We start from the raw sequence: 17,668 nt of genomic DNA on the forward strand, positions 1-17,668 counted from the left end.
CTTTATAGTAGAATGATTTATATTCCTCTGGGTATGTACCCAGTAATGGGGTTGCTGGGTCAAATGGTATTTCTGGTTCTAGATCCTCGAGGAATCGCCATACTGTCTTCCACAATAGTTGAACTAATTCACATTCCCACCAACAGTGTAAAAGCGTTCCTATTTCCCCACAGCCTCACCAGCATCTATTGTTTCCTGAGTTTTTAATAATTGCTATTCTGACTGGTGTGAGATGGTATCTCATTGTGGTTTTGATTTGCATTTCTCTGATGATCTGTGATGTTGAGCTTTTTTTCATATGTTTGTTGGCCGCATAAATGTCTTCTTTTGAGAAATGTCTATTCATATCCTTTGCCCACTTTTTGATGGGGTTGTTTTTTTCTTGTAAATTGTTTAAGTTCCTTGTAGATTCTGGATATTAGACCTTTGTCAGATGGGTAGATTGCAAAATGTTTTCTCCCATTCTGTAGGTTAAAAGGCTGAATTTTATAGCATGTGAATTATATCCCAATTTAAAAAAGAATGCATATGTCTTAGTTCAGGCTTCCATAACATAATACCATAGACTGGGTGGTCTAATTGTTCAAAGCTCCACAGAAATTAGTTGGAGAAGTTACAAGAGTCCATTAATCATCTTGCTTTGTTAGTAGCAGCGGGCATGGTTCAGCATTTTCTGCTTAAGTTTCTCTGAGCTCACCAAAACTAAAATGATGTTGTAATACTTTTTTTTTTTAATTGCACATCACTCCTTTATTATACTGATCTGGTAAAAGGATTTAGTACAGTTATGCTCAGATGAACACTGGGCCCATGTGGCAGGGTCAAGCAACTAGAACATGATTCAGAAATCAGTGAAAGACACACTTGGACAGGACCAAGAGGCATTTCACTGCCATGAAACAAGGCAGGAAGGGATTCTAATACACACACCAGGAAGCACTCCTGCCCCTCAGAGGTCAAGGAGCTGATCCTATATTGGTATGAGGAATGGCTTATTTTCTGATGACCACATGTGGGACTATTTCAACCGCCACAAGAAACCCCAGAAGGGTTATTGTTTTGTATTATTAATATATACTATACTTTTTTAATAAAAGTAAATATAACACATAACGAAATTCAGGATTGATCCCAACCTAGAGCCAGATCCTCTGGGGTCAAGGAGGAAACAGTTGTCACATCACCATGCAGATTACATTCATCTTCCACTGGAATGACTAGAGCCCCCAGGCAGTGGCCTGACTGCAGAAGAGCAGAGGACAGACTCTGCTCATGGGGACAGACAGGCTCTGTTGCTTCTCCTCATTGGTCGTGGCTTAGCATGTTCCTCCCCAAAGTCCTTAGTAAACAAAGCACTCACAAAAACCCAAGTCACTACTTTTAAACTCTGTTGGATAAGGGGAGCTTTTCCACAGCTTAGACTGAGAACCTGTGCTCTAGAACTGCTATTCTGACTAGATTGTATGAAGGGAGTGGGTGCAGGCGACAAAATGGCTAAAATGAAAATGGGAGCCACTGGTCCCCATCTGCAGCTACAACTCAAGATGTCTACAGATGTGGTCAGTGTGACATGTGCAGGTGGGAGGGGCAGAGGGACAAGACCAGCAGGGAGGGTGCTCCTGGGGACAGTATCCTCCCCGCTGGCCTTCACTTCTTGGCCTTGCCCTGGGCAGCCACAGCTTCTATGGCTTTGCACACCGTCTCTTCATCCCCCAGAAACTGCATGGGCTTGATAGGCTTCAAGTTCTTGTCCAATTCATAGACGATGGGAATACCAGTCGGCAGGTTCAGCTCCATGATAGCCTCTTCAGAGAGACCCTCCACATGCTTGGCAATGCCCTGGAGGCTGTTGCCATGGGCTGCAATCAGTACACGTTTCCCCTCCTTGATCTGGGGAACTATTTCTTCATTCCAGAAGGGCAGAGCTCTGGCAATAGTATCCTTCGGACTCTCATAGGAGGGTAGCTGATCTTCTGTGAGGTCTGCATACCTGCGATCCTTACTGATGTTGCTGTAGAAAGGATGGTCGGGCTCCATCGGAGGTGGTGGGACATCATAGGAGCGCCTCCAGATCTTCACCTGGGCCTCACCATGCTTTGCAGCAGTTTCTGCTTTATTGAGACCGGTTAGACCCCCATAGTGCCGCTCATTGAGGCGCCAAGTCCTCACCACTGGCAGCCACATCTGATCAATGGCATCTAGCACTGTCCAGAGGGTCCGGATCACTCTCTTCTGCACTGAGGTGAGGCAGATGTCAAACTCATAGCCAGCATCTCGTAGCGCCTGCCCGCCGCGCTTCGCCTCCTCGTGGCCCGCCGGGCTCAGATCGGCGTCGTACCAGCAGCTGAAGCGGTTCTCCAGGTTCCATGTGCTCTCGCCGTGCCGGATCAGCACCAGTTTGTAGGCGGCCATGGCGGTGGGCTGCAATACTTTTTATACCATTTGAAGTAAAAGGTACAAAAGGTTATACGCTGAAAATTCTTTTTCCCACCCTTATTCCCTAACCACTCATTTCCCCTCACCAGAGGAACCACTGTTTCCATGGGATATATTAGATTGATTTATATGAAATTGCCGGTGTTTGACTATGATGATTTCATGTGGTTCAGCCTAATATCAGTGAAAAAACAGAGTCCTATCTTCATGGAGTTTTTATTCTAGTGGGAAGTGTATTACTTAATTATTGCAGTGTAACAAATAACCCCAAAATTTAGTGGCTTAAAGCAACAAACATTTATTATCTCACATTTCCTATGACTCAATAATTTGGGAGCAGCTTAGATGGGTAGTTCTGGCTCAGGGTGTCTCATGAAGTTGTAGTCAATATGGTGTCTGGGGATGTAGTAGTTTAAAGGCTTAACTTAGGTCTGAAGGAGCAGTTTCCAAGGTGGTTCACTTACCTGGCTATTGGCGGGAGGCCTTAGGTCTTTGCTGGTTTTTGACATGAGGCCTCAGTTCCTCACCATATGAACCTCTCCATAAGGCTGCTTGTATGTCTTCATACTTGGTAGGTGGCTTCCCCCAGATTGCGTGATTCAGGAGAGAGGACAACAAGGAAAACACAATGCTTTTTTCTCCTCTTGCAATGTTTTTTATGACCTAGTCTTGGAAGTCACACCTTGTCGCTTCTACCGTAGTCTATTCATTAGAAACAAGTCATTAGGCCAGGTGTGGTGGCTCATGCCTGTAATCCCAGCACTTTGGGAGGGCGAGGCGGGTGGATCACTTGAGGTCAGGTGTTCGAGACCAGCCTAGTCAACATGGTGAAACCTTGTCTCTACTTAAAATACAAAAAATTAGCCGGGTGTGGTGGCATGCGCCCGTAATCTCAGGTACTGGGGAGGCTGATGCAGGAGAATCACTTCAACCCGGGAGGCGGAAGTTGCAGTGAACTGAGATCGTGCCACAGCACTCCAGCCTGCGAGACAGAATTGAGTCTCAAAAACAAAAACAAAAACAAAAACCAAAACAACAACAACAACAAAAAACAAGAAACAAGTCATTAAGTTCAGGCCACACCGAAGGGGAAAGGATTAAATTCCACCTCTTGAAGGAAGGAGTAGCAAAGAATTTGTGGGCGTATTTTAAAACCACCACAGGAAGGCAGACAATAAGCAATAAACAGAATAAATCAGCAAGTTATGGAGTATGTTAGAAGGTGGTACGTTCTATGAAAACAAAAGAAAAAGCAGAGGTAAGGGGAATCAGAGTATGTTTGTGTGGAAGGGATGTAGGTTGCAGTTTTAAATAGGGTGGTCAGCATAGTCCTCATTAAGGTTAGATTTGAACAAAGACTTGGAGACAAAGAAGTTAGCCAAGCAGTTATCTGGAAGAAGAAAGTCCCAAAGCAAGAGAATAGCTAAAATAAGGCCTTGAAGTAGGAGTCATCCTTGCATGCGTAACAGCCAGGAGGCCAGTATGACTGGCACAGAGAAGGGTTTGGTGAGTGGTAGAAGAGGAGGCCAGGTAAACTTGAGGGGGACAGGCATGGGAAATCATGTGGGACCTTGTTGGCTGTTGTAAGGATTTGAGGCATTTTTGATTAGTTCTTAATTCGTACTTACAAATGTTAAATGAGATTATGTATGGGAAACATTAGTAATCAGGAAAGCACTCTATGAAAGCTAGTTACTTGTATTAAAGTATTGAAATTTTTATTTTTAGTTAGCATATCCATAGAAACAACTTTCCTTTACTTCATCTAAGGTGATAAGAATTTTTTTTCTAAGCAGGAAGAATGCTTACCATATTTTATTACTAGCACATTTTAATTTTTTAAACATGACACTTGAGCATATATAAAATGTAGCATATTTTTAATTGGGGAGGTGGGGGAAAAGTTGAGGAAAGATTATTTGCATGGCTGAAATTAATGAATTTATTGTTTCTAACAGGAATGTAATGAGGAAATCAAAATGGATCCAAGTATGGGTGTGAATTCTGTTACCATTTCTGTTGAGGGTATGACTTGCAATTCCTGTGTTTGGACCATTGAGCAGCAGATTGGAAAAGTGAATGGTGTGCATCACATTAAGGTAAGTTACTCTTTGGAAACTGAAGTCAAATGCCATTGAAGAGAATTCTACTAGAAATTACTTCTAACAATGAGATAGAAGCAGACACACTGACACATTTGGCAATAAAAACTATTGTACTTCTTATCTTGAAGCTAAATAAGTTTTCTTTGACCCATTAATTCCTCTCATAAAGAAAAAAGATATATTTTCAATTTAAAAACATCTGAACATGGAATCTTGATATTGTGGTTGTATATTTATAGATTTATATTTTATAAGTATATGAGTATTTATATACTGTTTATTACTCTGAATCTCATACTGAACTAAAATGTATGTTTTCAGGGGATGGGTTAGGGTTTTCTTTTTCTTTTATAACATGGTGATTATTTTGCAATTAAAACTTGAAGGGAAAATGTCTAGAGAATTACTAGTATACTTTGGTTTTTATTTTTAGTTTTTTTTTCAGACAGGGTCTTGCTCTGTCACCCAGGCTGCATTGCAGTGGCAAAATCACAGCTCACTGCAGCCTAGATTTCCCAGGCTCAAGCAATCCTCCCATCTCGGCCTCCCAAGTACCTAGGACCACAGGCGTGCACCACCATGCTAGCTAATTTTTTTTTTTTAAGATGGAGTTTTGCTCTTGCTGCCCAGGCTGGAGTGCAGTGGCACGATCTCAGCTCACCACAACCTCCACCTCCCGGTTCAAGCAATTCTCCTGCCTCAGCCTTCCGAGTAGCTGGGATTACAGGCATGCGCCATCACTCCCAGCTAATTTTGTATTTTTAGTAGAGACAGGGTTTCTCCATGTTGGTCAGGCTGGTCTTGAACTCCTGACCTCAGGTGATCTGCCCACCTCAGCCTTCCAAACTGTTGGGATTACAGGCATGAGCCACTGTGCCCGGCTGCATGCCAGCTAATTTTTTAATTTATTTTTTGTAGCGATGGGGGTCTCACTATGTTGTCCAGGCTGATCTCAAACTCCTGGACTCAAGTGATCCTCCCACCTGGGCCTCCCAGAGTGCGGGGATTACAGGTGTGAGCCACCATGCCCAGCCAAAATTACTAGTACACCTTGTATGATATGCCTAAGGAAGACTCTATTATTGGTTTTTTGTTTGTTTGTTTTTCAGACTCTAGGGCTTTAAGTTGAAGACTCTATTGTTGTTTAACATTACTTGAGCATCAACAGCATTCTAGATATACTGTGGTTAAAGATGTAGTTCAGGTTATAAAAAAGCCTTCTGAATACTGCATGAAGTACCTGTGGTTATCATAAGAAACTTCATGCATATATGGCAGGGATTGGAAAATGGTGATCTGCAGGCCAAACCCAGTTTGCCAACTGCTTTCATATGGCTCATAAGCTAAGAATGCCTTTTACATTTTTACACCATTGAAAAAAATTAAAAAAATATTTAGGAACTTATGAAAAGCACATGAAATTCAAATTTTTGTGTCTGTAAGTAAAGTTTTAGTAATATACAGTTTTATTAGAACACAGCCACACTCATTCATTTACGTATTGTGTACAGCCCTTTTTTCACTACAAGAGAGTTGAATAGTTGTGACAGAGCCCATACGTGGTGTCCTCATTGGTAAGTGATACACTGCCAAATGATTTACCACAGTGGAAATACCATTTTATCTTCCCACCAGCAGTGTTTGTGTTCCACTTTGAAAGTGTTCCATTTTCTCCACATTCCCTCCAACAATTTGTATTGTCAGTCTTTTAAATTATAGACATTCTAATGGGTGTGTAATATTACATCACTAATTCTCATTTCCTTAATGGCTAATGATATTGAGCATCTTTTCATGTGTTTATTAGGCATTTGTATACCTTCTTTGGTGAAATGTGTGTTAAACCCTTTGGCCAAATTTTTAGTTGGGTTTTTTGTTTTGTTGTTATTGAATTTCTTCTTTTTCAAAATTGTTTTGGTTAGTCTAGGCCCTTTTACTTTCCATATAAATTTTAGAATCAGTTTATAAGTTTCTACAAAAATATCTGCTGGGATTTTCGTTGAGATTGTGTTGATTCTACAGATCCATTTGGACAGAAGTAACATCTTACCAATATTGAGTTTTCCAATCCATGCACATAGTATATGTCTATTTATGTTGGTATTCTTTGATTTCTTTTATCAGGAATCAATAGTTTTCAGCATGCAGTTTCTGTACATATTTTGTTAGATTTATATTTAAGTACTTTATGTTTTTGAATGCTGTTATAAATGGTACTGTTTTTAAATTTTAAATTTAAGTTTAATTTCAGGTGTTCATTATGAGGTTTTTATATGTTGACTTTGTATCCTGGAACGTAGCCAAACTGACTTATCAAACCTATTAGCTTTTTTGTACATTTCTTGGGATTTTCTATGTAATTATGTCATCAAGGTATATAGTTTTTTTTTTTTTTTAAGATAGTCTCACTCTGTGACCCAGGCTGGAGTACAGTGGCACAATGTTGGCTCACTGCAACGTCCACCTCCTGGGTTCAAGCAATTCTCATGCCTCAGTCACCCAAGTAGCTGGGATTACAGGCACATGCCACCACACCTGGCTAATTTTTGTATTTTTAGTAGAGTTGGGGTTTCGCCGTGTTGGCCAGGGTGGTCTTGAACTCCAGACCTTGAGTGATCCGTCCACCTCGGCCTCTTAAAGTGCTGGGATTGCAGGTGTGAGCCACTGCACCTGGCCACATAGTTTTATTTATTCCTTTGTAGTCTGTATATCTTTTTTTTTTCCCTTGTATTATCAAACCTTCATTACAATTTTGATTGGGAGTGGTGAGAGTGAACGATGGTTGGGGGAAACATTCAGTCATTTACAGTTAGCATTGTGTTAGTTGTAGAGTTTTGTAAATACTATTTATCAGATTAATTAAGTTATTTCTATTACTAGTTTGCTGAGGGTTTTTTTAAACATCATGAATGGATGTTGAATTTTGTCAAGTGCTTTTTCTGCATATAGAGATGATCATATGGTTTTTCTCCTTTAGTCTGTTAAGATGGTGAATTACACTGATTGATTTTCAAATGTTGAGCCAGCCATGCATTCCCAGGGTAAGCCTCACTTGGTCCAAGAAGACTTACTTTCCATTAAAAATTTCAAACATACACAAAGGTGGAGAAACTATTTTTTTTTATTATACTTTAAGTTTTAGGGTACATGTGCACATTGTGCAGGTTAGTTACATATGTATACATGTGCCGTGCTGGTGCGCTGCACCCACTAACTCGTCATCTAGCAACTATTAATAGTACAAGAATCTACCCTATACCCATCACCTAGAAAAATCCTTGCTATTTATTTGCATGCCATTCTCATCAGTTGAATTTTATAATGTGTTTTGCTGATGATTCTAAGAGTTGGTCCAGGCCTTCCTGCCTATTGTATTCTGTTAAGGTAGATGTCTCTGACTAGTGGATTGGAACTTCCTAGTATATCTCCATACCAGTTGCCATTTCTAAGCCTTTTGGCCACCCCCTGCCACCACCCCTGCCCGCCCCTTTCCCTTGTCACTCTTCGCAATTCTCAGCACTAATTGTAGTGTATATAATTTCAGTACTCTTTCCCATGCTTTATTTAGTTTGTTTTTGAACATATTTTTTTCTCATTTCTCTCCAACTTGTATCTCAGGATCCAAAGAATTAACAATATCTCATGCCAAAAGCTTGAGGATTCCTACTGTATTGACAATAACATACAGAAGCTTTGCTTAAATATTATGCTTACTTTTTTTTTTTTTTTTTTTTTTTTTTTAGATGGAATCTCACTCTGTCGCCCAGGCTGGAGTGCAGTGGTGCCATCTCAGCTCACTGCAACCTCTGGCTCCTGGGTTCAAGCAATTATCATGACTCAGCCTCCCAAGTAGCTGGGACTACAGGTGCACGTCACCATTCCTGGGTAATTTTTTGTACTTTTAGTAGAAACGGGGTTTCACCATGTTGGCCAGGCTGGCCTGGAACTCCTGACCTCAGGTGATCCGCCCGCCTCGGCCTCCCACAGTATTGGGATTACAGGCATGAGCCACCACGCCCAGCCTGAATTGCTTACCCTTAAACATGTTTATTTTTACTGCCAGGCCTTAATGAGTCAGTAATGGATATGTCATTTTAGCTGAGTTGTATTCTCATTTGTGTAATATACTTATCATTTTAATGTTATCTTATCATTAAAACAACCTTATATTGGTGGTAATTCTATTTGCTGGAGGTTCTCTGTAATTTTGCTTTTATGCAATGTTCATTACAGTAATGGCGGGAAGTTAATGCCACTTTGGAATTTGATCAGCTTGCATCACTACCAGAATGGTTTTCCTATGACTAGTTGAGATCCACATGCAATACATTTTTTGACATACTACCAGGAGCAGATGTTAATATCATAATGAAAGCTTTGTCCAACTGGACATCAGATTTAGCACAAAATTCAAAATTAGGGACAAGATGGATTCTTTCTAATTATCAGAAGCTCATCATATTTTTAAGGGCGTGAATGATTACATTGGAACTAGAATATTTTGTGTCTCCAGATCAGATACTTGTGAGAGCTCTACTTTTTAACTATTCTTGATCTAAACATTAACTTTTACCATTTATTTTTCAGAGGTTTCAAAATGGTTTTGGCTCTTTAGTGAAATACAGAATTTATACTTTATCTCTGCAGTATTCTTACCTAAAATTCTGATTTATTATAAGATCTTGAGTAGATTGGTTTCAGTTTGCCTTGTTTTTATTACCCAAAATTGGCTAATTAGCCCATCATTACTCTCTATGAAGTCTGATACATTTCCTTAATTCAAGAGTCCTATGAAGTGTGGTGCTAATATGTGGACAATTCTTCTCTTCCTAATCTGAAACTGTAGGTGATTTTTTCCATGTCTAAGTTTTATAGTCATCTTGGCCAGAGAGTAAACTTTGGATCCATATTACTATTTGTATGAGGGAAAAAGCAGTATTTCTTGTTTGTTGACTCTACACTCTGATTAGCTAAGACTATGTTGATAGCTGTGGCTAGAAAAGTTTTATTTACATAGCATATATTCCTTCTCCTAAGTTTTCTGTACTGTTGACATCCATGTGACTACTTAGATATGAACTTTCCATTTTCACATGCTCCAAAGGTAGATTTTTTTTTTCTTGTATTCACCATCTACCTTGGCGTAATTCCAGTCTTAGAGGCTCCCACATTGCTTCTTCCCGGCAACATCCCCGAACAGGGATACGGTTGCCTTTAATGATCTTTGGGGAAAGAGCCAAGTTGGAAAAGCTGAGAGATGACAGGTAATTATTTTACGTATTTATCTTCAAAATATTCAAATTTATATAAAAATATTTTCCCCTAATCATATCTATGCAAAAGTTAGGCATATTTTGCAGTTTGTTGATTAGTAAAGAGAATAGTAAAAGTAGCTCTGCAAACTCAATGCTAATGCTTTAAAAATGAGTTGCTTAATTTCACTGAGTAATAAGTATGACACATGAATTTGATTTATCCTCAGATGAAACTAATTAAACCTCCTCCACTTGATCTGAGGTGGGGCTGGTGTTGAGGGCCAGAACAGAAGCTGAACCTTACTAATTATATAGTAGTGTCTGTGCTAATTGCAGTAAAGCTGTTTTAACCATTTGGAAACTAGTTCATGTAATTTTTTGCCAAATGACTTAGGTACTTATTGTCCACTGACAGCTAAAGTATTTTCCAAAACCCTCAACTCTCTGTCTAGCAAACTATTGTAGGTGAATATTTGTCTCTGCCAACATATCCATGTATAACTATAAAACTAGATTCTGCTTTGATGTTTGCAAATACATTCTTGCTTCCCAAAACAGCCTGTTTGCATCACACTCATATGTAAGATGGCTATTTCCGCTGCATCTTCCCAAAGTTCACCACTGCTTAATAAGGTCTGTTTAAGGTCAAACAAATGCAATTGAATTTTGATTACACTGAAAATGAAGAATAGCAGCAATATAATGTGAAAGCACTTTGTGTTGTCAACAGTGATTTATACAAATTCCAGTGACAGATACTCAAGACTACTTTCCAGGGCACATTCATAATTTGATTGCTAAAAATAAAAGAAAACACACTTGTTCTGCCTTTTTCAGCTCTGCTTCTCCTCTTTCAGTCAAAAGCCCTTATGTTAGTAACCTTTATTCTTTTTTAAAAAAATATTTTACTAAGTGTGAAGTGTTCTGGGGCCAGAGAGAGATTTTCTGTGAAGTTAATGAAGCTTAAGTTTCAGAGCTCCTCATTTGCAGTGACCTTCTTCTAAGACTCTGGAAGGAGTATCAGCAATGTGTTTATATGGTCATGTGTTTTTGTACAATTTGAAAAATTAAAAAAAAATTTAACCACAACCCTTCAAGGCCATTGTCCATTTCTACTTCAATGACTCTTCTGTTAGACCTCCCCTTTGTGTTAGTGTGATATTGGAATGGCCATGAGCTTTTTGGGGATGTGACTAAGGGGAGGTTGAGTTGGGGATATGTTTAGTTTGGGGTTAGTAGGCTATTTGGCTATAGGTGGTTCTTTGTCACTTCTGTGTATAGTGGAGTTTTTGCTAGGAATTCTGATATAGGGATGGCTTCTTGGAACACCCCTACTACTCATGGGGCCAACTCACTAAGCATCATGACATGAAGATGCAGGGCTCAGTGTAAAACTGGTAAATGAATGTTACCAGTTCAAAGAATATGTAAGATTAGTCACTTCACAAGTAAATTTGAAATGCCCTGAAATCTTACAGCTCATATATGAAAGAAACTCAACAGTTTTCTCAAATTTGACAGTAGCTTTAAAAATGTATCAATGCCTAGTTGTTATGTTGAAAGGAACTTTTCTAAACTATCATTAATTTTAAAAATTTTTATCTAGAGAAAAGACTGAACTATTTTTATTTTCTTTATATACAAGTGATTTTATAAAGTCGTCAAATGAAGCACTAAAGAATATACAGCCAAAAACATAGGAAAAGAAACTATCAGAGAGGTATATCAGGCATTATTAATAAAAATGTTATTGTTATGGATTTTTATGATATTTGTTAGCTTTAAAAATTTATAACTTGTGATTTAAATTTTTTTAAATTTTATTTTGAGACGGAATCTTGCTCTGTCATCTGTACTGGAATGCGATGGTGCGATCTCGGCTCACTGCAACCTTCGCCTCCTGGGTTCAAGTGATTCTCCTGTCTCAGCCTCCCGAGTAGCTGGCATTACAGGCACGTGGCATCATGCCCGGCTAATTTTTGTATTTTTAGTAGAGACAGGGTTTCACCATGTTGGCCAGGCTAGTTTCAAACTCCTGACCTCAGATGATCCGCCCCCCTTCACCTTCCAAAGTGCTGGGATTACAGGTGTGAGCCACTGCACCCGGCCATATAACTTATGATTTTTGTTATGCGCTCAGAATATTTTCTTTTGTACAAAATTTTGTGTTTATGGTTTTTTATTCCTTTTTTTAAAGAAGGCCCTTCAAATTGTTTAAGTTTCAGACACCACAAAGTGTGAATTCACCTCTTTCTAGACATCATATAGAAAGCTGTCTTTGCCCAAACATAATTTATAGTCAGAATGTAGTTCAACATGATCATACATAAATATTGATTACTTTTTAAAGAATGTTAAAGCTTAAAATTTCTGCAAATAATTAATGGGAACTAGGCTTAATACCTGGGTGACAGAATAATCTGTACAACAAACCCCTATGACACAAGTTTACCTATATCACAAACCTGCACATATACCCCTGAACTTAAAAGAAAAGTTAAAAAAGAAATGTACACAAAAAAGAATATTTCTGAATCATAACTTCTAGGATTATAATTAAGCCTCAGGTGCAGTTAATTTAGAAATCAGATTTGGGGAGAAGAGTGTTTCAACTAAGTCAAGGAGCTCTTGGTAGTGTTTGGAATGAAGTAATATAATTGTGATATTAAATTGAGTAAAGTTGTTTTATTGGAAAATGCAACAGCAGAACAGATTAATTAACAGAATTCAAAAAGAGTGAATAGTCAGGAAATCTCTAATTTTGGAATAAATAGAATATGACTATTTGCCTTTGCAACTTTAGAATTTAAATGCATTTTGGGAATTGTGTCCTAAGTTATACAGTAAATAAATGTAATTTTCTTGTTTGTACTGCCAGTGTTAAGACTGTAGACTTTAAAGGGATTAACCTGAAGTTTAATTTAATCACCCTGGTGGTCTGTTCAAAGGAAAAGTAAAATAGGCAGATAATGTGAAGATCTTTCTCCGGGGTTGTTTGGCCTTTTTGAAAGTGGAAGTATAAAAACAAATTTAATTAGATATAAGTACTGAATGATTCCAAAGGTTAATGCCTTATTAACAAATTAGTTTGTCCCTGAAACTTACAACACTAACTTTTTGAGTGCTTTTCCTTTTTAATTAGATAAAGGCTATAGTCCATTCTCTTAATAGAGACTATCCTTTAGAAAAATGACCACCTCACGGATCACGAGGTCAGGAGTTCGAGACCAGCCTGACCAACATGGTGAAACCCTGTCTGTACTTGAAATACAAAAATTAGTTGGGCGTGGTGTCGCGCACCTGTAATCCCAGCTACTCAAGAGGCCAAGGCAGAATTGCTTGAACCCTGGAGGTGGAGGTTGCAGTGAGCCGAGTTCATGCCACTGCACTCCAGCCTGGGCAACAGAGCGAGACTCCAACTCAAAAAGTAAATAAATAAAATAAAATAAAAATGACCACATCAATGCTAGCAGTTACTAAATTCCTCCTTTGGATCAATAAATACATTCCTTACTCCCCTTACAATTAATTGGTGTTTTTATTATTGAAAAAGTAACACATACACAGAGTAAAATTCCTCTCCCAAGGAAAACCAGTTGTCCTATGTATATGTATCCTTCCAGAAAGACTATTAATATAAAACTTTTTTTTAAATTATTTTTTGAGATGGAGTCTCGCTCTTGTCACCCAGGCTGGAGTGCAGTGGTGCGATCTCGGCTCACTGCAACCTCCGCCACCCGGGTTCAACTGATTCTCCTGCCTCAGCCTCCTGAGTAGCTGGGATTACAGGTGCCTGTCACCATGCCTGGCTAATTTTTGTACTTTTAGTAGAGACGAGTTTTGCCATGTTGGCCAGGCTGGTCTCGAACTCCTGAACTCAGGTGATCCGCCTGCCTCGGCCTTCCAAAGTGCTGGGCTTACAGGCATGAGCCACCGTGCCCAGCCAAAGCTATTTACATGTACATAAGTATATATACTTGATGTGTGTGTGTCCACTTTTTCTAAAAATGGAAGCATACTATGCACATCATTCTGCACCTTGCTTTTTTTTAAATTAGCAAATATATCTTAGATATTGTTCCACATCAATATACAGAGCCCCATCTAATATTTTTCTTTCTATATGGGACTCTTTTTTTGGCTTCTTAGCTTTTTCTGGCAAATGACAGTGCATTGAATATTCTGTTTTTCAAACTGGTGCTCTGTCACCAATACTATATTAGAGTAACATAGGCATTTTTATTATTATAAATTAGTAGGTAATAATCATTTATCCATGAAGATGTCGAGTCAGCTTCAAAGAGGATTAGGTTTCTGATTTAGCTGAACTCTATTCTGAGGACCAAAGGAAGGTCAAATCCAAGATAAAAAATTTAGCAGTGAAGGAATGGTGTAAAGAGGGACTTTCACTATTTCTTTTGTATATTTTTGTGTTTAAATTTTTATAGCGAACAATCATACATTTGTCATATAATGTTTGAAGCAAAGTGAAAATACATTAGAAATGGCCAGGCATAGTGGTTCATGCTGTAATCCCAGTACTTTGGGAGGCCAAGGTGGGAGGATTGCTTGAGACCAGGAGTTTGAGAACAGCTTGGGCAACATAGCAAGACCTTGTCTTTTAAAAAGAAAGAGAGAAAGAGAGAGAGAGAATGAGAATATATTAGAAATGAGAATTCTGACAAAGTACTCAGTTTAAAGATGGTTTAGTTCATGAAAAACAATGCTACAATGTAATAAAAACTAACAGAATGTCTGCATCTTTTTCATCTTAAAACATTTGATTTTTGAATTTTTAGATTGATTTTGGACTATTATTTAGTGTCTAAGGATTGTCTTTTTCTAGTTTATAATCTGATATAATAGTTTTAAAGTGATAACCTTTATTTAGGTTACTCAAATAGGATAAATGTTCATGGAGCTTGATGGCTTCCTCTTACAATATTTTAATTTTCAATATTCTATATTGAAGCATCAAATAGAGTGTTACCCTATTAATGTAAATACATTATATTTTTCAGCAAACCATAATGGAATTTGTATTGAGACTGTATGTATTATAAGTGATGATCTTTTTGTATATTATAAATAATTTTTAGTTGATTCAAAAATATATTATGGGTGGTGAATCAAACATATTAGAAATTCAGGATAATTGATTAATCATGTCACTTTTCTGACTTCAGTCTCCACATCTGTAAAATAACAGAATCCTTTCAAGCTGTGAAAAATCTCTTATAACCTTTATGTTGAGTTGTTATATGAAAATGTAAGAAAGTAAGCTTTAAACTGTCTGAAGATTCCCACACTGAGCAGCATGCTAACCTGAATTTATTATGATCATATATAAATTGATTCCTGGGGGATAAAAAGGAATTTCAATGTGCTAAAACTTGAGCTAAGTTATTTTCCCATAGTGACTTTTAAAAATGTGGAAATATTAGAATGTTCTGATTGTCAGTTCTGTTAAAAACTCAAATGTGTTTTAAAATCATTTCAAATTTAAACTAGCATGGGAGAATATGTGAAATGTGAGAGGAAAAAACAAACAATTAAAATTTGGTTCAAACACTAGAAATATTGTATACTTTTCAGATTATTTATAAGCCATAAATTGCTCAAATCATAGGCATAGAATTTTAGTTTTCCAAGGAAATTGTAGATTATTTAGCATAATCATTTATAGATGTAAAGAGTGTAGACTTTGGAGTTACATACACCTGCATTTGAATCCTAGCTCTTTCATTTTCTTGTTGGGTTCCTTGGGCAATTTATTCAATTTCCTGGCCTTCATATAGGAACCTGGATCACCTTTGTCTTAGTCTGTTCAGGCAGCTATAAGAAAATACCATAAAGTGGGTGGCTTATAAACAACAGAAATGTATTTCTCACAATTCTGGAAGCTGGGAAGTCCAAAATCAAGGTGCTGGCAAATTTGATGTCTGGTGAGGATTGACTTCCTGGTTCATGTATTGCGCCTTCTCCCTGTGTCCTCACATGGTGGAAGGGACAGGGTAGCTCTCTGGGACCTCTTTTATAAGGGCACAAATCCCAATCTTGAGGACTCTGTCTTCATTACCTAATCACCTCTCAAAGGCCCCCTGCCAATATTATTACCTTGGGAATTAGCATTTCAGCACATGAATTTTTGAGGGACCTTTCCCTATCAAATAAGAAAGAATACAGAAGAGAAAACATGTACTGATGACAACCTAAGAAGTGGTAGTAACATAGTTTTTTAGCTTATATAGAAAGTTAGAACTGAAAAGATTATTTTATCTAGTCTCTCAGGAAACTGAAGCCCTCAGAGGTAGGGTAATTTGTTTAAGGTTCTAGCTTTCATATTGCCTAAGAATAGAAGATGCAGTCTTTGTGGGTTTATGCAAATTATACAGAAATCATATGCAAATAAAGTATACTGTGCCTGAATTTCATGTTTGACATTTCAAGAGACACAGAACACCACAAAAATTAAAAGAATCGATCTTTACAATCTCTGTGACAGTCAGCACTCTACACCACCATTAATACTATGAAGGCCACAGAGTACGTTTGGTATATTTTCCTTTTTTCTCTCCCACTACTGCCTTCATCAAAATACAGTGAATAGTCCTCCATCTTCAGTCTTTCCTATGAGCTATATTTATAATTTGTAGGCTGTTACATTTATTTTCAGAGGAACTTTTTTTTTTTTCCGAGACGGAGTTTCACTCTCTTGTCCAGGCTGGAGTGCAGTGGCACGACCTCCGCCTCCCGGGTTCAAGCGATTCTTGTGCCTCAGCCTCTTGAGTAGCTGGGATTACAGGCGCCCGCCACCATGCCCAGATAATTTTTACATTTTTAGTAGAGACGGGGTTTCACCATGTTGGCCAGGCTGGTCTCGAACTCCTGGCCTTAAGTGATACACCCACCTCGGCCTCCCAAAGTGCTGGGATTACAGGCATGAGCCACCACTCCGGCCCAGAGGAACGATTGATATAATGGAAAAATAGTTCCTCTGAAAATAAAAATAACAACATTGGTTCCTAATAAAAGATTAAGAGAAAAAGACAAGCTGTCGAAATATTGGAGCAATGTGGGGAATGAGGAAGGTGGGGTAGGGCAGAGAAGGGAAGTTATTTTTGGAGCAGGGGTTGGGGTTAGAGGACATATGAAAGGAGAGCAGCACAGACCCGGAATCAGACTGCCGCCAGCACTTTCCAGCTCTATGGAGTCTGCCTGGTTTTGCTCATCACTGTATCTCTAGCAGCTAGCATAGTGCCGGGCACATAATGGACATTCAATAAATATTTGTTGAATACATAAGTACCTTTTTTTTTTTTTGAGGCGAAGTCTTGTTTTGCCGCCCAGCCTGGAGTGCAGTGGTGCAATGTCGGCTCACTGCAACCTCCACCTCCCGAGGTTCTTCAAGTGATTCTTCAAGTGGTTCTTCAAGTGGTTCTTCAAGTGATTCTCCTGCCTCAGCCTCCCGAGTAGCTGGGATTACAGGCACCCACCACCACGGCCAGCTAATTTTTGTATTTTTGGTAGAGACGGGTTTTCCTGCATTGGCTAGGCTGGCCTCAAACTGTGACCTCAAGTGATCCGCACACCTCAGCCTCCCAAAGTGCTGGGATTACAGGTGTGAGCCACCACGCCCAGCCAATAAGTACCATTTTGACTTCCTGCCCAAAGATTTAGCACCCAGAGCTGTACTGTGAATTTGTTTCCTTTGAGACCTTAGGTTTGAAAAGTCTCTTTGCTATCTAACATTCAGAGGCAAAGTTGAGTGCTGTTACCCCAAAGAGGGATACTTTTGTTTGTGCTGAGTGTGGTTGGTCAGCTTTTAAAACAGAAATAGAATTTACTAAAGGAAGTGTTTTCTCATCTGCA

The 17,668-nt window shown here is 38.6% G+C and overlaps 2 protein-coding genes and 1 long non-coding RNA gene across 5 annotated transcripts in view; 2 read left to right on the forward strand and 1 right to left on the reverse strand.

Annotated features, from left to right (window-relative positions):
* Window positions 1–17,668, forward strand: part of ATP7A (ATPase copper transporting alpha) — a 139,703-nt gene that overhangs the window by 56,534 nt on the left and 65,501 nt on the right. For all 3 annotated transcript variants that reach the window (NR_104109.2, NM_000052.7, NM_001282224.2), the window contains exon 2: window positions 4,395–4,535. Coding sequence is in view for 2 of the 3 variants with exons in the window: in NM_000052.7 (NP_000043.4) it covers window positions 4,416–4,535 (120 nt within the window). In the remaining variant the exon portion in view is untranslated. The remainder of the gene's footprint in view (window positions 1–4,394; window positions 4,536–17,668) is intronic.
* Window positions 723–2,412, reverse strand: PGAM4 (phosphoglycerate mutase family member 4). Its single transcript, NM_001029891.3, has one exon. The coding sequence runs from the start codon at window positions 2,410–2,412 to the stop codon at window positions 1,648–1,650; it is 765 nt and encodes a 254-aa protein (NP_001025062.1). The 3' UTR covers window positions 723–1,647.
* Window positions 7,212–8,725, forward strand: LOC124905201 (uncharacterized). The gene is made up of 2 exons (XR_007068274.1): window positions 7,212–7,582; window positions 8,285–8,725. It is a non-coding gene; the product is annotated as an uncharacterized LOC124905201 (long non-coding RNA).

Source organism: Homo sapiens, chromosome X, assembly GCF_000001405.40.
Source record: "Homo sapiens chromosome X, GRCh38.p14 Primary Assembly".
Taxonomy (NCBI): domain Eukaryota; kingdom Metazoa; phylum Chordata; class Mammalia; order Primates; family Hominidae; genus Homo; species Homo sapiens.